This window comes from Homo sapiens, chromosome 1 (genome assembly GCF_000001405.40).
Source record: "Homo sapiens chromosome 1, GRCh38.p14 Primary Assembly".
Lineage (NCBI taxonomy): Eukaryota > Metazoa > Chordata > Mammalia > Primates > Hominidae > Homo > Homo sapiens.
The window spans coordinates 90,921,160-90,946,491 of NC_000001.11; the positions used below are offsets into that span (position 1 = coordinate 90,921,160).

At 35.3% G+C, this 25,332-nt stretch overlaps 1 protein-coding gene across 21 annotated transcripts in view, besides 4 other annotated features; it reads right to left on the reverse strand.

Annotated features, from left to right (window-relative positions):
• ZNF644 (zinc finger protein 644) overlaps positions 1-25,332 on the reverse strand; it is a 106,732-nt gene that overhangs the window by 5,856 nt on the left and 75,544 nt on the right. For 8 of the 21 annotated variants that reach the window (XM_011542258.4, XM_005271257.6, NM_001437612.1 and 5 more), the window contains 3 exons: positions 17,113-20,150; positions 16,326-16,931; positions 14,249-14,371 (listed from right to left, as the gene is read on the reverse strand). The exons of 5 other annotated variants lie outside the window; for them this stretch is intronic. In XM_011542258.4, the coding sequence (XP_011540560.1) occupies positions 14,249-14,371; positions 16,326-16,931; positions 17,113-20,150 (3,767 nt within the window). The remainder of the gene's footprint in view (positions 1-14,248; positions 14,372-16,325; positions 16,932-17,112; positions 20,151-25,332) is intronic. 8 more of the 21 variants (NM_201269.3, XM_017002488.3, NM_001437611.1 and 5 more) reach the window with 1 other exon arrangement.
• Positions 3,787-4,401: an enhancer, noted in NCBI's record as "OCT4-NANOG-H3K27ac-H3K4me1 hESC enhancer chr1:91390503-91391117 (GRCh37/hg19 assembly coordinates)". NCBI's record gives its function as "activates a minimal SCP1, AML or CMV promoter by ChIP-STARR-seq in naive H9 embryonic stem cells {active_cell/tissue: H9 hESC(naive)}" and the evidence as "EXISTENCE:reporter gene assay evidence [ECO:0000049][PMID:30033119]".
• Positions 5,631-6,243: an enhancer, noted in NCBI's record as "OCT4-NANOG-H3K27ac hESC enhancer chr1:91392347-91392959 (GRCh37/hg19 assembly coordinates)". NCBI's record gives its function as "activates a minimal SCP1, AML or CMV promoter by ChIP-STARR-seq in naive and primed H9 embryonic stem cells {active_cell/tissue: H9 hESC(naive and primed)}" and the evidence as "EXISTENCE:reporter gene assay evidence [ECO:0000049][PMID:30033119]".
• Positions 6,345-6,951: an enhancer, noted in NCBI's record as "H3K27ac hESC enhancer chr1:91393061-91393667 (GRCh37/hg19 assembly coordinates)". NCBI's record gives its function as "activates a minimal SCP1, AML or CMV promoter by ChIP-STARR-seq in naive H9 embryonic stem cells {active_cell/tissue: H9 hESC(naive)}" and the evidence as "EXISTENCE:reporter gene assay evidence [ECO:0000049][PMID:30033119]".
• Positions 6,952-7,557: an enhancer, noted in NCBI's record as "H3K27ac hESC enhancer chr1:91393668-91394273 (GRCh37/hg19 assembly coordinates)". NCBI's record gives its function as "activates a minimal SCP1, AML or CMV promoter by ChIP-STARR-seq in naive H9 embryonic stem cells {active_cell/tissue: H9 hESC(naive)}" and the evidence as "EXISTENCE:reporter gene assay evidence [ECO:0000049][PMID:30033119]".

The window sequence follows — 25,332 nt, forward strand, 5'->3', positions numbered from 1 at the left end:
ACTTAAGAGATTTTATTATATCTAGAGGGAAAAGTAGTTTTGTTCTGGACTGTACCAGGAGCCACTAGAACATTAAATACAGATCACTAACACATTCAGTTTTAATATAATGCAGCTCATCAGTATCTGTGATAAACAGCCAAAGCTTTAACAGAGTTGTTTATATGAATAATCTGCCAAATAGATAACTGTTACACAAAGCCTTTTTTTGTAATAGGATTTTATTTGCACTTGTTAGTGACCAAAAAACTCCAAGGAACTTAAAAACAAAAAACCCACACACTCTTTTCTCTTTACAAAGTATTTTAAATCTAACATTGTTTCTATACTTTAAATATATTAAAAAATTATTTTTAGAAAGTATTAATTTTCTTCTCAAGCATAAGCTTCTATAGAAAGAAACAAATCCAGTCATCCAAACCTTCCTAAGATTACTATTCGGTGGGCAGAAACTGTTTAAGTGATCAATTTCAACCAAAAGACTGTTATCTTTCAAGTTACCTGATTTATAAAAGATCTAAATTGCTACTGAGAATATTTTACTCATACGGAGAATAAATTGAGCTGTAAGGTCAAATGCAAAAAAAAAAAATAGAATATACCTTTCAGTAAGATATTTGTCTTGGTCAAATACAAATATGAAAGAGAAATACAATAAACTCATGAGTCCTCAAAAAGAACACCACACTGCTATGCTATGAATACGACGACCAATGACCATGACGACAACAACATGCCAAAGCACTAAACCAGATTGGTGCAAAGCAAATAAATAGATAACACAACACATAAAAATTCAAGTCTGTTTTCTGAGCCATTATTTAGTTTTATACAAAGAAGATTAAGAATTTACTTTTGACTTTGACATTAAAATCTTTTGCTCTTTCCACCTTTCTGCCCATTTTATACAATAATTGCTTCAATGAGTTTCATTTTCTTTTTCCTTCACGATATAAATGACCCAAGAGAATGAGATTTCATAAAAACATCTGGAACTTCTTTGATAAAGCACACCATAACTAAATTAACATTCGCCACCGAAGTATTTTTATTTGTAATCATTCTCACCTGCCCAATAACTTAAAAGTCTTGTTTAATCCATTTCTTTTCTAATTGGTTGCTGGTATCTCTAGGACAAAGTGAAACAACTGGGGTATCTATACCCAAAGTAAGAGGCACAGTATACCCCTACGAGAGGGAAGAAAATTTCTTCTCTAAGTGGTTGGCCTGTGTTAAGTTTGGTGGACAATATTAGCTATGAGCTCATTCAGAACTACAGTAGGAATAAACATGACACGAACAGGTAAATCATCATTCTATCACTATTAAAAAGTTGGTGCTGGAGGTCGTGCTGGCAGTGGTGAGGTGGGAAGAGGATGCACACATGCCAAAGGATACACAAGTGTAAGAAAAATAAACTCAACTCTTTTTTTTAAACCTTTATTTTAACTTCAGGGGTACACGTGCAGGTTTGTTATATAGGTAAATTGTCACGGGAGTTGGTGTACAGACTATTTCATCACCCAGGCAATAAGCACAGTACCTGATAGGTAGTTTTTTTTATTATCTCCCTCCTCCTACCCTCCACCCTTAAGGTAGGCCCCAGTCTGTTGCTCCCTTCTTTGTGTCCATGTGTTCTCGTTGTTTAGCCCCTACTTATAAGTGAAAACATTCAGTATTGGTTTTCTGTTCCTGTGTTAGTAATAAATTCAATTATAACTGTTGTCACTAATCCTTCAAGGTTCATAAGCCCCAAGCATATAAAAAGACTGCAAATATAATTTTCTTTCCTTTGGCCTCAAATGAAAAAGAATCAGGGCCTTTTTTTAGAAAACAACAACAACAACAAAAACATGCTAGCTTGTGTAAAACAGGAATGGGGTAGAGAAAGCCAATTGCTGAGAAGCCAAAGTTTCATTTATTCAGCTTTTATCTTTCTTTCTGTACAAAGTGCCTAGGAGACCAGCTTCATGGGTGTCCAACTTACACAGTCACATAGGGAGAGCCCCACACTCAGTTTAATGCTCTACTGTTGCAGCCTTGAAACTATTAATTTTTGAACGAGGTCTACCACATAACTCATTTTGCATTGGACTTTGCAAATAGCAGCCCTGGGACCTGAGTATCTACTATCATAAATGAGAAAGGCTGCATTCAGTTCCACCCCTCAATCTCTCGGCCCATTCAAAAAAGGAAAAAAAAAGGCTGAGAAAAATTGTTAAATCCCCACTCTACACAGTATTAAAATTGAAAAGGACTCCCCTACTCCTATCAACATCAGTTCTTTGCTCCTAGCTATACCACTTCATTATTCCCAAGATGAGTAGTTTACATTATAAAAAGCAATGTTTCCCTTACAGTCAGGCATGAAGTATAAAGATACACATTTGGTCACCTCAAAAGTATTTATTTTCATCAACATTTTCCCTTGATATTTTCACTCTAAAATTGGGTAATTTTTTAGTACCCTAAATAACTTTCATTAATTTTTAGAGTTTCCACTCCCAATGACTGAAAAAAAGATAAGTAACTCAATCACACAGCAATCAGTGGCAAAGTTAACTAGTTCCTGCTTGTTTTAATAATTTACCTGGAAGAGGATGAAATGCAAAATACCTGGAAAGCAGATTTCCTTTGCTTTAAGAATTAGGTTTGTGGTTTTACAATTATTAGTCCACAAGGACTGGTTGCTTGAGTTTGTCCTACAAAGTAGGAAGTTAAATTAAGTATAGTCAACAGCCTTATAGTTCAGAGAAAGAGTTAAAGGAAATGGAAGTAGCCTTTTATTTAAACTTGAATGGATTCAGTTAAAGAAAAAGTACAATTTGTAGAAGACTCCACTATTTCAAAGTAGAGGGGATGATTACTAAAGGGTATTTTGAGCAAGTATTCTCTATGTAAATAAAGGGAAAAGCTGGACATAAATATGATACTTCATCACACATTTTTATAAACAGGAATTAGAGGCAGGCTAGTTTTATCAGCTTACCCAAAGCTAAAAAAGCTAACAATATCACAACTACAAGTGGCTTACTGGTCAGCTGAGTTGATAGGATAGCAAACGTATTACTTCTTTGTGGTGACAGGTAAGAAAATAACATTTAAAAATTTCTTTTCAAGTAAGTTGGACTTGTATGCCGTTTTATTAAGCAAAATAGGCATTAGCCATCAACATCAACCACTTTTGTAAGACACATCTGAAATTAGAATAAACATTAAAGTACATAATGACAATCTGCTTTAAGTCACTTTTGTTGAGAATTACAAACAAAATAATCACAGTCCCTGCCCTCTAAAATCTCCGTATTTCTGATATATCATTTCAGATGTAGTAACAATAATTAAATTGTTCTTGATCATAAAATTAGCTAAGAAAACCACCAAACTTTAAAATTTCCTTTAAATTATTTTCAATACAATCATATTTACCTTAAATTAGATAGGACTCACAACAATATATTAGTAAATCTAAATGGCACAAATCCATGGTCGCAATGGATCTGATTTGGCTTTTTATAGTTCTCAAGAGCCTTACACGTGTAATTCCAGCCAAAATTCAAACTATAACCAAACATGGTATTGATCAGATATTTTCTGTTTTAGCCAACTTCCAGCTAAGCTACAATTAAATACATAAACCTTGGATAACAAGAATTAACCTCATTCTTCAAACCCTAGGCATACCAAAAAAAAAAGTAAATTCTACTTTTCTACTTTTTTCTACTTCTGCAGTAAGTGAGGAACTACCTACCAATAAGCCATCCTTTTGCCCTAACCTCCAATAGAGAAAGTCTGAGTGTTATTTTATTATTTCCGTAAAGTCAATTAAAACATTACCTAAAATTTAGCTCTGGCCAACCACATGCCTTGTTATATTATAAGGGCTAATTCTATCTTAATCCAGATTACAAACCGCATTCAAGAAATTCATGTTAGAGAGAAGGAAAGCAGCTCAGCAGTCAGCTATGCACAGTATGCAAGATTTACCAGGCCCAGAAAGACTGGAGTAGGGGACTTCAGTCACTTGACTCTCATGCCCCCCACTGGGGGGAGGGCAATTGTTTAAACTAGGCATTCATTATGTTCCTGACCTGATGCCTCACCCATTATTTTTATGTTCCTGAAATCTGTGATACAAAGAACAATGTATAGCCAATCGATAGCTTACGTTATCTTAATGTAAATTCTTGGTAAATAAACATAGAAACCGCTTTTTTTCTTAAAAATTCACTTGTAACTGCTGCTAATCACAGTGTATATCCAGGGCAACTTGAACCTATGCTCCCAGGTGGCCATCCTCAAGCTTTGGGCTTGAATAAACTCTATACCTAATGATATTTTCTGAATCTCATTATTTAAGGCTTAGAGAATAAAAATCATAGCAAACACAAACATTATAACTGAAGATATAATTAGATATATTTAAGATTCCCAAACATATATTAAAAAAAAAAAAGCAAAACCCAGAAACTTAGTAAATAATTAAACCAATAGTAATGCTAGGAAACTAGATAAGACTTGCATGAAAAACAAGATGTCAGTCAAAATAGATCACCTTCCTTATGAAACCAATGAGCAGCAAAAAACAAGCATCATAAAATTTAAGTATTTTATGCTACAATGGTGTAACTCTTAGGCTATATTCTCCTAAAAACAAACTTACTGATTCAACAAGTGTGGTTATTTGCTTTTGAGAAATAAAAATAAAATTCTAAGTTCTACAGCAGACTGAATGGACACCCTCCTCTTTGCCAAGGTGACCCCAGAGAAACCTTAAAAATTGAGTTCCCAGCCATGATGGGACAGGAGGTAAAGCAAGTCTCGTTAGGTCCCCTCCCTCACTAACCACCATAAAACTTTCCTTCCTAAGAGTTAAAAAGAAACCAACCCTTTCAAAAGACTTGCTCCCCACTGATATCAACCAATTGCCTAACTCAGAAGCCAGACTCCACTCTGTTTTTGTGGTTTTGAACTGACCAGCATTCCTTACTGATAAGAGATCACCAACTGGTTCTAGCTGGTCCATGAAGGCTGCACATAGGATGCCTATGAACTCTGTTTCACCTTTTGACATGTAAACCTTAATTTTACTATGATTAAATGTTAGGTCTCCAACTCAAAGTGAACATGGGATGTATGTAACATGGAGTGTGCACACTAAGCTTGTGTGCACCCCCTCATGAATATTCATAGCTCCTCCTATAATCTGTTGAATATGTATACTTAGCCAACCCATTCAACATAACTTCCTGTCTCACCCTTCCTCCTTTGAAGGGCTTGCTTTTGGTCTCTGTCTGAGGATACACTTCCAAGCCTGCAGGCTTCAAGCTTCCTAAGAAATAAAGCTCTCTTTTCCAAATTTGTAGATCTCCTGCTTTTAAGGTGATACTTTGTTATAGTGGATAGCTGGATGTTGAAGTGTTGCTAGTAAATGACAGAGAAGTAATGAAGCCTGCCCTTCTACCAGACAGCATGGTAGCAGATTGATTAACTGTACTGGTATAACCATCCTCCTCCCACTCAGATTTAAAATCTTGAGTCATCTCTTAACTCTAATCTACCATATCCTGCTTATTTTATTTCCATAATATTACCCATACATCTAGTACCCCTCCTTTACATTCTTAATGTCACTGACCTGGTACAGGACTCTTAAAATGATCTACCCTGCAATTTTTCCTCCTCTCTGCCAAATCCTTTATTTAAAAAGCAATTTCAAAAGCATTACACAAATTCTGCATTCAAATAGTTCCCCACTACAAAGTTAATTCCAACATCTTAGACTAGCGTTCTATGTCATCTATCTGACTCACTTTACCAGTCCAACTCAATTCCCTTACCTCCTACTTCCTAGTATTTCCTATAAACTTCCCACATTGTTCCACCTTGCTCCCTCTTTCAGGCATTTCTCTTCCCCACCCCGACCCCCATTTCCATTTCAGTTAGCTATACATCAGGGTCCATTCAAATGCTAATTCCAAAAGCCTTGGGAGTTCCTAGTCTAGCTGAAAGTGTCTTCCTCTTTCTCTGAAATTCCACAGTATTTCACGCATACCTCTCCAATGGCACTTAACAATTTGTCTTGTATTACAGTTATGCATATATGTGCTTCTACTGTATTGTAAGATCCAATGTATCTCTGCATACTTAGCACAGTTGGAGGTGAAAAAAGTGCTTGTTGAATTAGTGAAAAAATCAGCCGATCATTTTTTTGTATGGTGGAGAAATAGCCTAATTCTTGCTGGAATAATAAAACAATTAGTAGAGTATCTATAAGGGTTACCCAAAATACTCGATTAAATTATATCCAAGCTACTCAAGGCAAAAATAAGAACAACATTTTGGAGCAATAACCACCAAAATGGTTAGGAAAAATCAAGTTATTAACAGTTAAAGGACTATTCTTCAGTCACCTAGAGAATTTACTCAACTCAGATAATTCGTTACCTTGCTAATCACTTATAAATGATACGTTACTGTGCAGATAAATGTATACACATATATGCTCTTAATGAAGAACAATACTATAGAAATAAGTTATAGCTAAGAAATATAAAGACCCATCTTTTCTCTGTCTCATGAAAGGCTTTTTAAAATATAAGTTTAACCATACCATTCCCTTATTTTTCTTCTCTCTCTCTCTGCCCTCCCTCTCTTCCTCCCTCCTTCACTTCCTTCTTTCCTTCCTTCCTTCCTTCTTTGGAGATGGAGTCTTGCTCTGTTGCCCAGGCTGGAGTGCAACAGCATGATCTCAGCTCACTGCAATCTCCACCTCTCAGGTTTAAGCGATTCTCCTGCCTCAGCCTCCTGAGTAGCTGGGATTACAGGCGCCCACCACCACGCCTGGCTACTTTTTCGTATTTTTTAGTAGAGACGGAGTTTCACCATGTTGGCCAGGCTGGTCTCAAACTCCTGACCTCAGGTGATCCGCCTGCCTCGGCCTCCCAAAGTGCTTGGGATTACAGGTGTTAGCCACGGCACCTGGCCTATTTTCCTTTTGTATTTATTTATGAGACGGAGTCTCACTCTGTCGCCCAGGCTGGAGTGCAGTGGCGCAATCTTGGCTCACTGCAACCTGCACCTCCCAGGTTCAAGCAATTCTCCTGCCTCAGCCTCCTGAGTAGCTCAGATTACAGGCGCGCACCACCACACTGGGCTGATTTTTTTTTTTTTTTTTTGAGGAGTTTTGCTCTTGTTGCCCAGGCTGGAATGCAATGGCACAATCTCGGCTCACTGCAACCTCCAGCTTCTGGGTTCATGCAATCCTCCTGCCTCAGCCTCCTGAATAGCTGGGATTACAGGCGCATACCACCACGCCTGGCTAGTTCTTTGTATTTTTTTTTAGTAGAGGCAGGGTTTCACCATGTTGACCATGATGGTCTCACGCTCCTGACCTCAGGTGATGTGCCTGCCTCAGCCTCCCAAAGTAATGGGATTACAAGTGTGAGCCACCACGCCCGGCCTCCTTATTTTTAAAACATCCTTTAATGACTTCCTAATTTTTTTTACCAAGCATTCAAAGCACCAACCCCACCTTTCTGGCACTACAATTTTACCAAACATCTGTAACCAAATCTTCTGACACTTGAACTCCAAGTTCCACTCCTGACACTTGAAGTCCAAATTTCATCCCTTTGTGTCCACACTATGTTCTTCTCTGCCTGAAATATTCTACACTTCATCTCGTCTTCCTAAAACTCTACTGCATCCTTCAACTTCAGGGTCTGGCTGAAACCATATAAACCCTTCTGTAATGGCATACTTGATCTTTTCCCACTGGGTTATATTATGTTTATGCAGCTGGAGTGCAGTATCTTTACTGGCTCAGCGATGAACAGTCTTGGTACAAGAACTCAAACTTTTGTTGAATGAATAAAATTTTGTATGGCTGCTGGTTTTGTTGTTCTCTTGCATTTAAAAAGTCACAAGAAGCATACCAGCATGAACTACTTTTATTTATTTATTTTTTCTGTTTTTTACAAGCTCTAATTCAATGAGACAAACAGTAAGGGCATCAGAAAAAAAAGGAATCTCAATTCCCAGCTGCCCTCAAAAGGAGGCTTAGACTAAAATAATCAACCTGAACTCCTACAACACTTAAAGCCAATATGCCATTTAGTTGTATACTATCTTGCATAGTTTTCAATTTTTGATAGTTTTATGTATGTTGTCAACAATCCTTTCCTAATTTCTCTGACAGCAGAGACATGTCTCATACTTTTCACATACCCTCCTCAGCCCAGTCTGGAAGAATTGTCAAGGAGTTTGCTTTAAGCAGAAGCAAGTTTGCTCATTTGGAGTTTAATCTTAATAAGAAGATCAAAATTTTCTACTTACACTCTTTCAGTCTGAATGAACCACTATGAAAACATGCAATTTTTCAAACATGCAATACTATATTATTTTTAAAAGACACTACAGTGACACTCATGAATGAACAAATAATTTAATGCACATTGGGAAGCTTTCACAATACTATTTTTTCTATCACATCAGAAAGTGCTCCCATAGCACTTTCCACAACATAAGAATGACTTTTCTAGTGGCTTACAAACCCATTCAGCACTTGATACTGTGCTATATGTTCATTAGTACTTGTTACAGTCCTGTGTGGCCAATTATATCATTAAAGCTGAAAACAGGCAAAAGAAACCTACTACGATTACACTTAAAAGTAAATGGTATGAAAAATAAAACACTGACTTGATTTTTTAAAAACGTTAATATATTGCACTAGTGGTATTGACCTCATCAGAAAAGTCAAATAATTATGATGGATAAGTCATTTGTTGTAGAATAGCAACAATTGGGCTTTACTTCCAAAACGTATCAAGAAAGTGTTCTGGGCTGGGTGCAGTGGCTCACGCCTGTAATCCCAGCACTTTGGGAAGCCCAGGCGGGTGGATCACCTAAAGTCAGGAGTTCGAGACCAGCCTGACCAACATGGAGAAACCCCATCTCTACTAAAAATACAAAATTAGCCGGGCGTGATGGCGTGTGCCTGTAATCCCAGCTACTCAGGAGGCTGAGCCAGGAGAATCACTTGAACCTGGGAGGCAGAGGTTGCAGTGAGCCGAGACTGCACCATTGCACTCCAGCCTGGGCAACTAGAGTGAAACTCCGTCTCACACACACACACACAAAATTGTTCTGAAGATAATGAAATGAAGCCCCTCCCAAATATAAAAATATTTTTCTTGCATTAATTTTAAATGAGTAACTAGAAATTTCCAATTACTTTAAGTCCCAGAGGTTAGCATTTGATTTACAAAAGTGATCTAGAGAGAAAAATGTGGATAGAATGAGTATAGAAAATTCACCTGCTGCCACAGAAGAGTTATGACATCTAAGATACTACTACCATTGGTCAGTACCAACCCCTAAGAGAAAGAGGCAGTTAGGGCAGTGTCTTCAATCTATGATAGTGACTTCTTAAGTGGGTAGCAAATCAATTTACTGGCTCATGACCAGCATTAATTTTTCACAACAAAGAATATAATAAAAAAGAAAATATTAAAGTACATTTAGGTGAGTACACAAGGAATTGTGTGTTTGTATTAATGTAAGTTTGTACATGTGGTCAAGATATAAAATAAAGTCTCAATTAAAATGCTGACTGCTACCATCATTGTTTCTTCTTTACAAAAGATAACAACATGCTATCTACCATAGAAAAGCATTGTGGCATTCATCTGACAGATCTACTTCCTTTAACAACATTCTCTCTACTCTGTATTTCCCTTTCCCTACCTGTTGAAATTCACTCTTATTTTGACCTCAAAATATATTTTTTTTCCTGATTGCAGATTAGGTTGATAGAATATGCTTTACCTTAATTTTAAATGCTTTAGCAATTTTAATAACCAGGATGATTAATTTATCATTCAATCCAGGACACTTATGAGAGTAAAAGAGGCACTAGTACTTAGGTGTGACAACAAGGTAAACCAGTATGTATAGTCACTCCATTAATAACTTAATAGAACTATGTTCTTAATATGGCTAGCATAAAAATACATCATTTAATTAAAACATTAGGCACAAAAAAAGCTAATCAGTAAAATAAAAAGTCCAGAAGTAATTAATATAAGCTACATTATAAAATTTCAATATTTAATGAAAACTATATAATGTTCTCATTAAACTGTATGGAAAATTAACCAGAAAAAAATCTGTATGAGCATGTAAAACATTAAAGAGAACAAAATCTCAAAAAAAAAAAAAACCCCTACCATTACTGCATTCCATAAATAACTAGAATAAACTCTTGAATAAGAAGTCTGCCTTAAATTTACAATATAGGATATAAAATAAACCCTTTGATTCTAGTCTATTTTGATAAAGATTGATCGGGGAAAGGAAGTAAAACAGCTTCATAAATTATCTACAAGTGAAGACACAGAAAAATTATTAAACAATTTATTTGAACCTACCCAACAGAAGATAAACTGGGACAGTTCTGGGCAAAACTTTAATCTGTGAAATTATTCTTTTATGACAATTTAACTCTCCCAAGTCTGCCCACCTCTTCCAAATCTTCAATTCTAAATCTTTCCTATTTCCCCCATCGGTTCCTTTTACAAATATTAGGGAAGATAATGACCCCACAATTAGTTTTGCTATTATGCAATTCTTGCATTTTAAGCATCTTCTGCTCTTAAAAAAAAAAGAACTTCTTAAGGCTTCTGATTCCTAGTTCTGTTTCTACTTTCCTTTTATTCTGGCATCTCTCCTTTCTCAATTTGCCATCAGACAAATTGATGATAGCCTTCAGGAGATACGCAAAGTCTATACACACAAAAATTTTTATCTGAGAACAAATAAGTGCATGTTTCTGGGATGGGGCCCACAGCTTTCATGAAATTCTCAAAGATGTCGGTGACCCCAGTAAAGATTGAGAACCATCACATTAGAAGTATTTAAGTTACCAGTAAACAGGTATTTTGGGAAGAAGAGGGATATCCTTTTCAGTGTATTCAGGATACTTGAAGAGATTATAAGTTAGAAGAAATATTTTTCTTCCCTCAAAAGGTCACCAGTTCCCACAGAAAAGACCAGGAGCTGTGGCTTCTAAGAAGGCTTGAAAGTTTATTCTATCACAGGTAACCAAAAGCAGGCCTTTACCATTTAGTCTGAGGGTATCTAAGCTTTGTATTCAAGAGTGGACCACACAACTTAAAATCTACATGAATTAAGACTGCTTAAACTAGAAATACACATACTGGACATGGTTAGGGAGGCTTTATTCCTATCTACTTTCCCTTTACATTGTTCCAATTTTGTGATATACTAAGGTAAGATTTTATAAAAATGAATTTGCATTTTATTCATTAAAAGATCATGTGTTCTTGAAAAATGATGCCTGTTACTCATATGAATTAATGAATCACTTATAATAACCAAGTGGAACCTTCTAGGGCCATAGGTTTTTAGGAACACTGCTTTATAACAGTGATATTGATATGGGGGATAATCAGTATGTGGAGTTTGTAAATACAATACAGAATTCTCTATCTGGAAAACAGAAAAGTTAATAAAGCTTGAAAAAAAACTTCTTAGTTGGCATGAATAAGCAGCAAAGACATCTGTATAGCTCTACTGATCAAGAAGATTTTTTTTAATGAGGGAAAAAATGTTTCAGAATTTCCAAGAAAAAGAAGCATTAGTTTTTAAAGTTTCTCAAAAGTGGCTACTGGGTGTGGAAAATAAGACCCTAGGCTTTCTTCAGTTTCTCATTTTCCTTTTCTTTGCCTAGGACTGCCAAACACACGCTTTCTATTTCCTAGTACTTCTAATATTTTGGTAGTACTTAATCATATTTTTAAAATAACACCCTCTTTTATTCTTCAGGACCTAAACATATTCCCAGTCATCCTACATTACTTTTCTCTCTGATAATGAAGATTTTTTAGATAATCTTCATAAGTGCATTCTTGGTAAATGGAGATTTACTACCAGTTATTTATAAGTAATTAATCCTGTGTTTTGCAGAATTTTCAGATGAAGTAAAAGCATTTTTTTAATGGACTAATAAAATCTGGACTGGAGATATCTTGCCTTATTGGATATTTGCATAATCTGCTTGAATAATCAGAATGGAACATTAACTCCTCTAAAGTCTAATTTAGGCCTAAGCACTTCTTGGATCTCTGCTCTTTTTAATTAGACTCTTATTTATTCAGTCTTCACCAGAATAGTCCCCATTTTAAACCCACCTTCAGGCTGGGTGCGGTGGCTCTCGGCTGTAATCCCAGCACTTTGGGAGGCTAAGGCGGGCAGACTGCCTGAGGTCAGGAGTTCGAGACCAGCCTGTCCAACATGGTAAAACCCCATCTCTACTAAAAATACAAAAAAATTTGCCAGGCATGATGGCATGAGTCTGTAATCCCAGCTACTCGGGAGGCTGAGGCAGGGGAATTGCTTGAACCAGGGAGGTGGAGGTTGCAGTGAGCCGAGATCGCGCCACTGCACTCCAATCTGGGTGACAGAGCGAGACTCCGTCTCAAAATAAATAAATAAATAAATGAACAAACCCACCTTCATTTTAGAATTTTCCATTGCTTATTTTTATTTCAATTTCTTATTTTAAAAATAAGAAATTCAAAAATAGACCGCCTGTGTAAGGTAGAGAATAGTGATTAAAAACAAAGATTAGGTAAGATAGCCCTGATTTGAATTACAACCTTGCTACTTATTAACTGTGTAAGTTTGAGCAAATTAAGTTCTTTAAGTCCTAGTTTCCTATAAAACGTTAAGAGAATTCCAGTACCTACAACTTGTATGGCTGTTGTAAAGATTAAATGTTATGCATGTAAATTGCATAGCATAGTGCCTGACACATAGTAAATGTTCAATAAAAGTTAGCAAGTATGGTAACAATAATGATTTCCTACTTGTATAGTCTCTTATTTTTATTGTTCCCCACCTCTAATGTCTGCAATCACTTGCCAAGCCTGATAAAGGTGAGGGTATATAAAAATTATAATCTCAGAGTAGGAGGCCTAATCCAGTAGACTAAAACTCACCCCACTCCTCTCTTTTTAATATAAATTGTCAACATTCATCCCTGGTCATTTGTATATCAAGTTAAGGAAGAATGCAAAGAAGCAGAAGAAAGACACTAGTATAAATATAAGTGGTTTTTTGAAAGCAAGAACATATTGGATCTAAGTTCTAGGACATGAGGAAGAACAAAAAAGCTGGGAAAACAACTAGAAGAAAGCAGGAGGCAGTGATCTAAAAAAGAGCAAGAGAAATAAAATGATTGGAAAGAATTTTAGGCAAAAGAATTTATGTAGATCTATGTCAAAAAGAGGGTATATTTTAAGATGTGAGGGAAATGAGATTTGCTGAAGCAGGGTAGCTTAAAAGACTACAAATGAAAGTGCAAAGCATTTTGTAGGTTATAAGAAGCGTATTACATATAAGTAAGCTAATAAAATTTTCACAGATGAGCAGTATTAAGAGGTATCTGCAAGGTTGGGCTAACCAACCAAAAATAACACAGAAATGTGCATGTTAACACTTATGTGCATAGCTAAATTTATTAATCCTTAATATATTTAAGAAGTATTAAAAGAAAAATCTATTCGCTTGTCAACACAAGCCATTATTAAGGCTCACCCCTTCAAAGATCTAATCTATAGACTAATGAAAATTCATTAGTTTGCTTAGTTTCCTAATCAAGTCTACATTTTGAAATTTCCCTATAATTTCCTTTTCTAATAAAGGATTTCCCCAAGCTAGAACTACAATATTTTTATGCTATGTTGCCCAGGCTGGAGTGCAGTGACTATTCACAGGCACAATCATAGCACATTATAGCCGCTAACTCTTGAGCTCAAGTGATCCTCCTGCCAGCCTCATGAGTAGCTGGGACTATAGGGGCACACCACTGAGCCCGACTAGAACTATAAAGAGAGGTGTTTTACTGGAATCTAAAATCAATTTAAAAATCAAAAATAGTATTCTAAAAAATAAATGGGATTAAGGTAGACTCAAAGTTCCACACCTCTTGGGTTAATTTTTTTTCCCCCAAATTAAGTCAATAAGAGCCAAAAGAAAAAGATTAACTTGCTTAGAATTACATCTAACAGTTTACAAGTTGCTGAAATTCAATGGGTATTCAGACTCAAATGCAGCTTACCAAAGAAAGCTATAAATATGATCTGAATTAACACCAGTCTGGTGGGGAAAAAAAAAGTGTATTGTATCAAACAGACTTGCTGTGATATCTGTTCAAACATACCTGTACCAGTCAAAAGTCCAGCACTCTTCTTTCGTGCATAAGCGCGTAAGTGGTTGGACAGGCTAACAGCACTTGTAAACGTCGTATTGCAATGCACACATGTTCTAAGCTTCACAGGCATACCTATCATTCAAAAGAAAACTATAATCCAGTTCTCACTTCAAAAAGTGAAATTTTCTTAGCTTAAAGAGTGTAGAAAAGCACCACAATAAAGATGGTTTTCAAAACGTTCAATGAAATAGGTTAACTTAAAATAAGGAGGGGAAATTAAGTTAACTGTTATTAGTTTGTAGTTAGTATTTAGAGTCAACTCATGCTCTTTGGAAAGGTAGACGAGGAGTGACTTGAACCTTTGAGCTCCTCTGGATATACACCTATTATTACTTTCTTGCAGATTTCTGTGTTACGCAGATTATTTCTTAAACCTACTACAATACAATCCTGTGATTTGAACAACACGGTTCTGTTGAGAAGTTTCAAAGCTTACAACATTACCAATAAAAAGAATTAAAAAGTCTAGTTGACAAAGTGGTAATTAAAGTGTTTTACCCACAAAACCGTAAAAGTCTCAATACTAAATTAGGCTTTCTGATGAAGGCTGGGAGAAAAGGTGGTAAAACACACCACTGAACAGCTGTTAGACACAACATTTTATTTAGGGTATTTTATGTTCATTACTCTGAATGCGCAATCAATAATGAAAGTTAATGATTTAAAGTTTTTTGCTAAAATCTTTGTGCTAAATAAATGATCAACAAGCTAACATCTTAGTCATCACAGGAAAAACATGTTCAAACAATAAGAAACTCCTAACTTCTCAGACAATCCTCACTCCCCCAACACATTTCAACTGGTTTCTTCAGCATTACTGTGATAGCCACAAATATGCTTTCCATCTCTGAAGTATACTACCCCTTGGTCAACACAGCTAACACATCTTCCCTGCGTTTTACCCTTCTGAAAAAATATTGAAAGCTATTGACTTTCAGAGACTCTTTATTCGAAAGAAAAAGCCGGATTAAACAGAAGCTCATACAAGATAAACTGCTTTCCAGACCACTTACAATACAAAGTTATCTTTCCTTAAATCAAAACTGCATTACAACTATTCGGGATATCACAATGTCTGCCCCAAAGCAAATAAACAACATTACTTTACAGTAATGTTAGTCGTTATTAATCCATTAACTATTACCTCTGACACATTCAACTTAGAGCTCTAATCATGAGACCATTTACATAAACCTTCAACATTAACCTTCAAAAAGAAATCTAGAAAAAACACTTAAAATTTTTCTAGTCTAAAAGTATAAACCACACTTGGCAATACTGAATAAAGTTTGGCTACTTTATCTGCCACATTATTTGCCAATACATACAAAATATTCCTTTCAAAAGGAAAAAACTATTGGTGCACCAGCACTAAGCTAAATCATCTGTCCTGTTCCATTAGAGCACTATCTTAAAACCTAAAACCCCAAACAAATATGTTTTATGTTCACAACTGTTCTCCAAAACCAAACTATTCCGCAATACAATGAGGAATTGGAGAGGGAGATGTTTCTTTGGGTTAATCACAACAGACACCAATCCATTCAGCTTTAAGAGTCTGTTTTGTTTTACCTAAGCAGTGGAAAAACCAACAGCTAAATCTTGAAAACATGATCACCTTGGAGAACTGGCAAAAATATGACAGAGGTATGCCTTTTCAATAATGCTATGCTTTTGAACATCAACCTCCCATCCACAACCATCCTCCAGCCAGAGCAAGTTTTATTTTTACAGATCAGCTTTTTGTTTGTTGTTTTTATTGTGTGTGTGTGTGGTTTTCTTCTGCTTTTGTTCTCACCTTACATTCAGACCAAGAAAAGAGGCACAGAGAACTCAGTGCTAATGAGCATCAATTGATGAGTTATACAGAAATGACAGTAGAATAACCAATCTGTGCTCTGTAAAAAAAAAAAGCAGCTTAAACAGGAAGATTGTGAGAAAGTATTTTCCACATAGATTCCATTAAAGAAGGCATAATTGAACTGCATTTAAACTGTGTATAGCATAGTCATAAACGTCCTCTTACCTGAGTGCATAGTCAAGTCCATTTTTTGTGGCTGATACATCAACGGACTATCCTCATTTAATGGAAGAACGCATTTCTGAACGAATCTCTTTCTTGCTGTCTGATTATGGATCTTTTGAGGAGAAATAGCAGAATTCCTTTCTTCTCCCATCCTTTTATTTTTAAGAAGTTCTATGAGTGTAAGAGACTGATTCTTTTTCCCACTGGGCAGTTCTGGTTTTGTTTCATCATATTCATTTAAGAAATTCAGCCCTTCTTCTTCTGATGCAGACACTGACAGAGCTTCAGTCTTTAGGCCATTACGGTATGCTTCAAGAGGTATAACATTTTGAGATATAAAGTCATCACTTGATGCAAGTTTTTGAGCTACAAATGGTCTGGGAATAATACGACGACTGTTCAATGCCTTTAAGATTTTTTCATATTTTTCTTCATTTTGCATCATCTCATTCAGAACACAGATTGGAGATTTGTGAGCATCCCATTTCGTCTTTCCAAGTCTTTTCAAGTGGCCTCTAACATGATTTGATAATCCAATTTTAGTATCAAACCAACCACCACAGAGCTGACAAGTGTGTTCAGAAGTGGTTTCAGACTTCTCTATAGCTAGAAAAAAATTTTTAAGAGTAATATCAGACTTTCTTATATAAACTGACCACCCTAAAATGAGTTAATTCTGAAACATAAAATTATGATTCTAATAAAGACTAAATTCAAAAAAAACTTTTAAATCTTCAGAATTAGAACACAGACCTATCAGCCCAAATCATCCCCATGGAGAACTTACCTTTTCTAACTCGTTTAACAGGTGTTCCTGTGCCAGTTCTTTTGAAATGCTGCATTTTGTCACTTGTGGCTATTTGTTCTGGTGATACAACATGACGGGCTTCATAGCTTAATCCTGCTCTGTGAAGATGCCCCCTGACATGATTTGATAACCCAACACCTGTTTCAAATGTTGCTGGGCAGTAAGGACACGATTTCTTCTCAAGAGACAAATCAGTCCAATGAAAAACAGAACTATGCTTTGACAATGAAGCATCTGCAGTTTCTAAATGCTGAGGATCATGTATCTCATGCAAAAAGTTGTTACTTCCAGTATCTTCATAGTATTCAAAATAAAAGCCATCGTTTTGGTCATAACTAAGAGTAGCATTTTCTCCAGGCTCCTGACCTTCCACTTTGCTCTTAAATAAAGGGAATAAATTTACATGCTCTTGATTAATATCACTATAGGTTTCATCTTCTATGGCCTGTGTAGTGTAGTCTCCTAACTCAACATTATCCCAGGAACTTTCATCTTCTGTTTCATAACTATCTTTCTTTTCAGCAGAATTAAGTTTTTGCAAAACGACAACAGTCATTTTATGCAAAAAATCTGGATAGCTATCCAAGTCTTCCCCTCCAACAGAACTTTCCTTCTTAGATTCCTTAATTACTCTCTTTACAGCTACACGTCTGTGATCTTTGAAGCTTTCAGGCCTTTTGGCGTCAGGCTTATGAGGGTCTGAAATAAAATTGTTGTGAGAATTACTTGATGATGAAAACAGGTGTAAAGAATTTAATGAACTAGCTTCTTCTTTTTTGAAATGCACAGGATATGATTCACCTGATTTTTTGATCATCCTATAGTTTTCATATTTGTGTCTATACAAATAGTGGCTATTTGCCTTGGCATTAGACTTTTCTTTTGCTGCTTGATGGAAATACTTAGGTTTTTGGTCAACGCTGCTTTTAATTGTAACATTCTTATGAGGAGAGCTGTTTTGATTGCACATGTTTACACCTGATTGGGCAATGCTTTTCCGAGCTTTCTGTATTCTGTGTGGCCGCTTATGAATTTTTGAAAAACTACTTGATTGTGAGGTTGATCCAAATGTTCGCTTCACATCTTGTTTTAAAGCAGAGTTCTTTGGAAATGTGGTTGACTGTTGTTTAGTTAATGTTTTAGTGCTATCACTATCTACAGGTTCTTCAAGGATGTCATTTTTTCTTTTATCAAGTCCAAGAGGACTACCAAATGAATCAACACATGATGATGAATGCAAGTACTCCGTGTGCTTTTTTAAAACACTTTTGGCTGAAGTAGTAAAAGGACACATCTTACATATGTAGGTAGCTGATTTTTTGGATGATCCTACTACAGAGTCTTTCATGAAAGTCTTTTTTTGTGTTTTTCTCTGGGCAATATCAGAAGTGACCATAGGGCATTTTACCACTGCCCCATGTGCAATGCCTCGATGGCATTCCAATTCATTTTCTGTCACTGCCATGAAGTTACACTCTTCACAGCAGTAGTACCTTTTATCTTTTTCATGGGTTTTAGCATGTTGCACAAATGTTTTAGGGCAATTGGTACCAAACACACACTGAGGACACTGTAATCGTGCACTTCTTCCTTCATCCTGAAGTTCTTTCAATTCACGAATTTCCTCCATCAACTTCTGTCTTCTCTCCTGGTGAATAATCATATGTTTTAGAAGTGAATTGCGATCTCGAAATGTCCGTCCACATTCTCTACAAGCATATGGCCTTGGGACATTAAGATGGCGAAAGTGACTATTCCCATCTAAATGATACATCATATGCCTGTGGAGGTGCTTCTTCTCCCTAAAATTCACATTGCACTTTGTACAGGGGTAGAATGATGGCTCTTCGGTACTGAAAGTAGCAGGTGACTCAGAATCACTCTCTTCACATTTCTTTTTTAAGGTATTTGAAAGAAAAGTGCTAGTATGAACAGGTGAACTCTCTTCTCCACACTTATCTGGGTTATAAATTAGATGTTGGAAGGCATCCACAGATTCTAAGTCTTCATCAGTTGATTCAGGCTTCACTTTTGATAATGCATATTTCTGTGAGTCTACTGCTTGTAGCTCTTCATTTTGTTCTAGAAAGTCTACTTCTTGCATTTTTGATTTATTGGGTACACAATTAGAATCACTAAAGCAATCCTCGGTATAACGAGTTATCTTGCTTACATCCATTTTTCGCTTTCTTTTTTTTTCTAGACCTATTTTAGAATGAGGTGGAGCTTTATCTACTGTTTCCTCATTAGTCATAAGAAATTGAATGAACTCTTTTTGGGGATCCCAGTTTGTATCATTTTCTGACCTAAATCCATCTGTACCTGAGGAAATTCCCGTTACTGTATTGACACAATCATCTTTCACCAATAAATCTTCACCATCCTCACCCACCTCTACTTGATTTATTAAAGTGCCATCTGACTTTATATTACTCCCTACTGAATTCTGAATGTCACAACCAACTGAAGCAGAGGTAGGTAGTTTTTTATTGGAATGGGTGGGATTCTTAGCATGTGCTACATCTGATAACAAAAATAAAACTTGGTGTTGACTTGCTTTCTGTGGTGTAGACAGCTGAAGATCAGCTGCTACCTTCAAAGTTGAACAAGATTCTGTTGTTGGCTGATCCACAGGCTGTCCAGTGGTTAATGAAACACTGCCTTTATTCATATTGGAAGTCTTAGTTAAGGAGGAGTGTGAAACTGGTCCATTAACAGCAGCTCCTTTAGGCAAGATAAAGTTTTCACTAGAAACAGTAGGAGCACCAGCATGTATAAATAGACTAGACTGGCCTCCACTTAAGGCGTTTTCAGATTTGTCCTTTGACAGTTCTTCAGGCAGAGTCAACGTATTATTTTTCTGAAATGATGTTTGACAATCTTTTGGCTTATGAACTCCGCTCTCTTTGTCTGAGATAAAATTGTTGTCATCTAGGAGTTCTTCTTTAGCACCAGTAATATCGGTGTTTATCTTCAAATCATCCATATTGTTGGCAAGCCCATTTAACACATTTAGTCTAGAAAATGGAAAAAAAAAATTTAGATTTGCATGAAAGAAAAAATACTATTAGAATGTATGGAGAGTTGAAAGTACATATTTTTATTAGTTTAATTTTCTACTCTTTATATTGAGATTCTAATAATTTTCCAAGAATGAAAGAACACAAACATATTGAAATATTTAAAAAGCACCTCAAAGGTTAATATTGTTCTTCATGCTAGGCAACAACAACAGTCCAATACGTCATGTATACAAAATGTCTAGGGAAAAGCAACATACACAAACACACTAGGGAAAAGCAGCATACACACAGATACACATGTATACACAGACTCAAAAACAATATAAATATGCTACAGACTGAAAAAATTTTAAACCTCACGTGGAGATTGCTAATACAAAGAAAATTCTTTCACTTAAGTAGGTTTATCAGAGGTAGTCACTCTATTCTAGAGAACAATATAAATTATCAAATATTGCAGAGAAGTAAAAGATTTGTCACTTATAAGTTCATTCCTGAAGGTAACAAAACACCATTCAGTAAATAACTTTATTGAATGAACATATTTGCTATCAACATCAATGTTTTATGTATGAAATAGTCCTTTTTAAAAGACTGCTTTGCTCTCAAGATGCTTAATGTTCTCCCAACATTCTATCAATTGTAAAAATGCTTTATTCATAGTTTTGTTCATTCCTTATTCAAATTAACCTTAACTATAATTTTAACTTTAGTAAAGTTAACTAAATTTTAGTAAAGCGAATTTTAACTTTACTAAAGTTAAAATTAATGAAGGTTTATGTCAAACTTTCATATGTGGGGCCTCAAATTCTAGGCATTCTCTAAAAGCAGTTATCCCACTTATGATCTGGTGGTCTAGTGCAATGGCCTAACACATTTTACAATAGAATAGCATAAACATATGTTTTAAATTTATTTCATATAAAATGTAGATAAAACTTTTCTAGGCATTTTTGATAAGATATTTAATCATTATGAGAAAAAAGTACAATATTTTTAAAGGAAACAGTATTTCTGAATGTTTGGGGTCCATTCACACCATGACTGTAATGCCTACCCCCACTATGAAAAGTTCCCTTGCAACCTGTTTTTTTCCTGCTCTTAGAAATGGCCACATTGGAAGTATCTGCCTTCTTCAAAGAATGTCAGCTCTTTGAGGGCTGGGAATGTAATCTAGTCACTATCATATCTCTAGAACCTAGTACATCACTTGCCATAGGTGCTCAGGCAATATTTGTTGAATAAAATACTGAATAAGTATTGGATTAATAAAAACACAATTTCAAAAATCAAAGTAAAAGTTCCTAAAGTGTACAGAAGAAAAACAGTTTTGTTCCTATGAAATTTGGATACCCCATTCAAACACAAGTTCCATCAGGTTCTGATTTATTAACTCAGTAATTATAATAAGGTCCTCAAAATATCCAGTAATTTTCATGTACAATTTAAAGAACCTGCTATTTGGCAACCCCAGGTATTAACTAATTGAAGTACTGGCATCATAAGCTTCCATATTTCTTCTCCTTTTTTGCAGTTATTCTCCAAATATTTCCTAAGCACTTAGTAGTGCCATGCATTGTTCCTGTATTCCAGATATAATGGTAAACAAGACAAGTTAGGTTCCTGCTCTCAGATAAAGAATGAAGCCTGTATATTTTTCTTTTGCAGTATTTTTAATTTGCATAACAAGTAATACTATTTTAGGGCAACAGGACCTTACAATCTAACATTTAGAAATCAAAACATGTTCAATATAGTTCAATATTTCTACTATCCTTTAAGGGTACCAATTTCATGCTTTGTAAAACATTAAATCTAATTCAAGAATAATAAAATTGTTCTTAGGCTGGGCGCGGTGGCTCACTCCTGTAATCCCAGCACTTTGGGAGGCCGAGGCGGGTGGATTACAAGATCAGGAGATTGACACCATCCTGGCTAACATGGTGATACCCCGTCTCTACTAAAAATAAAAAAAATTAGCCAGGCGTGGTGGTGGGTGCCTGTAGTCCCAGCTACTCGAGAGGCTGAGGCAGGAGAATGGCGTGTACCCGGGAGACAGAGCTTGCAGTGAGCCAAGATTGCGCCATTGCACTCCAGCCTGTGCAACAGAGTGAGACTCCGTCTCAAAAAATAAAAAACAATAAAATAATAAAATTGTTCTTATATTTTTCTTATTTTATAACTTAGAACAAGCACTTATAATCTGATCTTATTCTTTCCATAAAATGTTATTTAATACAACAAATACCTATTACCAGTATCTTTGACATTGTTTTTTATACCAACAATCATTTTTTCCACCCCTCGTAGGTTTTAGAATTCTGTTTTGAGATTGGCAAACTTCTGTGGTAATAAAAATAGACTTCCAATAAGATCACATTTAATGATATCACTCCAAAATGGTGCTAATGCATCACCCAGCAGGAGTCTCTACATCACATACACAGAAGTTAAAAATGGGCAGCACATAAACATGTGTTAGGAAAGGGTGTGCAAATGTCAAGGGAAAGAAAAGCAAGCCTTAATGCTACACTACCATTCATTCCTGATATTTCTCATTAAATTAGGTAGAAAACATAAAACGCTTCAATAGCAACAATCTCATAAATCTGAAACGAACGACAAAAAACTAGCTTGAAAGACAGTTACTTTCCTTTCCGTTCCCACTTATTATAATCACAGAGGTGGACAAATATATGCTAAGTCAATTTGAAAGCCTATATTAGTTTTTCTCAACAGGAAGCAATGTTGCTAACGAAGTGGTAAATTCAGTGTTAATGAGTGGCTTCACTGTTACCACCTCAGAGGTAAAACCTTCCATGTTCTATGTTCCACCCATCTGTTCTGGTGTTAGAGGTTTAGAGATGGAACAGACGCTTCCCATTTAAAGCAACTTCATTGGTACCCCCTGAACAGCAGGGTGACAAACTATGAGAACATCATGTCAGCTTGGAGACTGCATCCTCATTACCGGAATGGCTTTATAAGAGCTTTTCATAAGGTCACATTCTGAAGATATCAACCTGTTTTGTTCAAAAACATAGAAAAAATATATGTGCATAACAGATATTTTATCTACAAAACACATCTAGCAAAAAAAAATCCGATTAAATATTGTTAAAATATAAAATGAAGTCTTTAACAATGAAAGTTTTCCTTCACATCCACATAATAAAATATGGCTTACTTACCCCTAAATTATTAATTATCTCTACTCAAAAATAAAAGATGTTACCTTCTGCATCAGTTTGAAAATATGTTACAAAAGTTGACTTAGGAAGCTTTCTAGGTCACTCGGTAATTCTGATTAGATACAACCTTCCTGTCATCAAATCTATACTGTCCATTTTCTGTTCATGAGTAATTCTTTACTGAGAGAAAATTAGCTTAATTTTGTTCTTTTATGTACATTATTAACTGCATTTACTACAAGTAGATTAACGTTTTGTGGGTACTTATTTTAGGAACAATTAAAATGTTCAGAATATATTCTAATTATACAATGCTCCAAATATACTTCTTCTTAGTAACAGTACTCAAGACTCATAGCTGTTGTGCTGAGATACAATGCAGAACCATGGATCATCAAAATCTGTTGCACTGAATAATTGATACAGAATTTTAACATCATCAAAAATTATTTTACTACATTCATGTTGGGTTATGTGGCATCTAGGCAAGAAAGCATTTGACTTGAGTTAATTTTACACCATCTCAAATAGTTTTTCAACTACCTTTGTATAGTCAAATGTATATATAACAGAGACATCAATACCAGTTTAGGTTACTATAACAAAGTAGGAACGTATTTGAAGGTGGGCATTATTCATTAAGTTTAAAAAACAGAAGCTAATAAATTAAGATAAATAAACTGATGTTTGGACTCCTTATATATCAATTAAGATTTTTAAACACTGTTTAGACACCATTACTAAATCTTCCCCATATAATCATATAACCATAGAATTTTTCTTTTAACTGGTTTTTAAAAGTCTAAAAAATTCACACACCTTTTTAAAAAGCTGCAAACAGAACTTTAAATCTACATAAAATATATTTCAATTTCTAGAAAATCATAATGAGTTCTACAGCTATAACTGCCTCTAGTTATATACTGTGAGCACTAAAAAAATTGTACAAAGGTCAGATCTGTCTTCAAGATGACAGATCATCACTTATATGCCTCAAGCTAGACTTATTGTCTCAGAAATCTCAAACATCAGTATTTTTGCAAACTATCAGCACTTGCTATAACACCCTCACTACACTACATCTTGAGGTTACTACAGAAGAAATGAGGTGATAATTGCATATTAACATAATTATTCTGTAATCCCTCTGAGCAAGCTTCCTAGGTCACTCAGTAATTCAGATTAGATACAACCTTTCTGTCATCAAATCTATGCTGTCCACTTTCTGTTCACGAATAATTCTTTTCTGATAGAAAATTAGCTTAATTTCATTCTTTTATGTACATTATTAATTGTATTTATTGCAAGTAGGTTAACATTTTGTGGGTACTTAACTACATAATGCCAACCTTTGTTGTGTTGTATAATTTCATGCAAAATATAGTACAATTTGCCCTCATTGTATATTAGTTCATTAATTGCTATATTACACAGCTATAAATAAATTATAATGCTGCCCACTAGCTGAATTATAGTTAGGATCTGTCAGGTTTTCACAAACCCTATGTTCATTTAAATTATCCTTGTGAACACATGACAACTTCAGTTAGTAATGTATGAGATTGGGTCAAGAAGAGAAAACAATTCACAAGTGTCAGTCTAACTGTAAAACAGATCTTAATTAACTGAAATATTATATTTAAAATTATTGTGGCATTTAAACCTATATATACCATACACAATGTACAAACATATATACCTAAATCTCACCTAGTGCACACTTCAAGAGAAGACAGAATGTATCATCCAGGTAATAACTTATTCTGGATGTCACATTGAGAAGAAACACTAAAAAAATACAGAACACTTGTAAGGGTGTCCAGCATGAGACTGACTTTAAAACCAAGCCAAATAATAAAATGGTTCAGAAGGTTAGACTGCTTACTTGTCAAGAACATTACAGACAGGAATATGGAGTTGAGGATTGAATAAGATGATTTCTAAGGTCCCTTCTAATATGTACTACAAATGTTTAGTACTTAGTT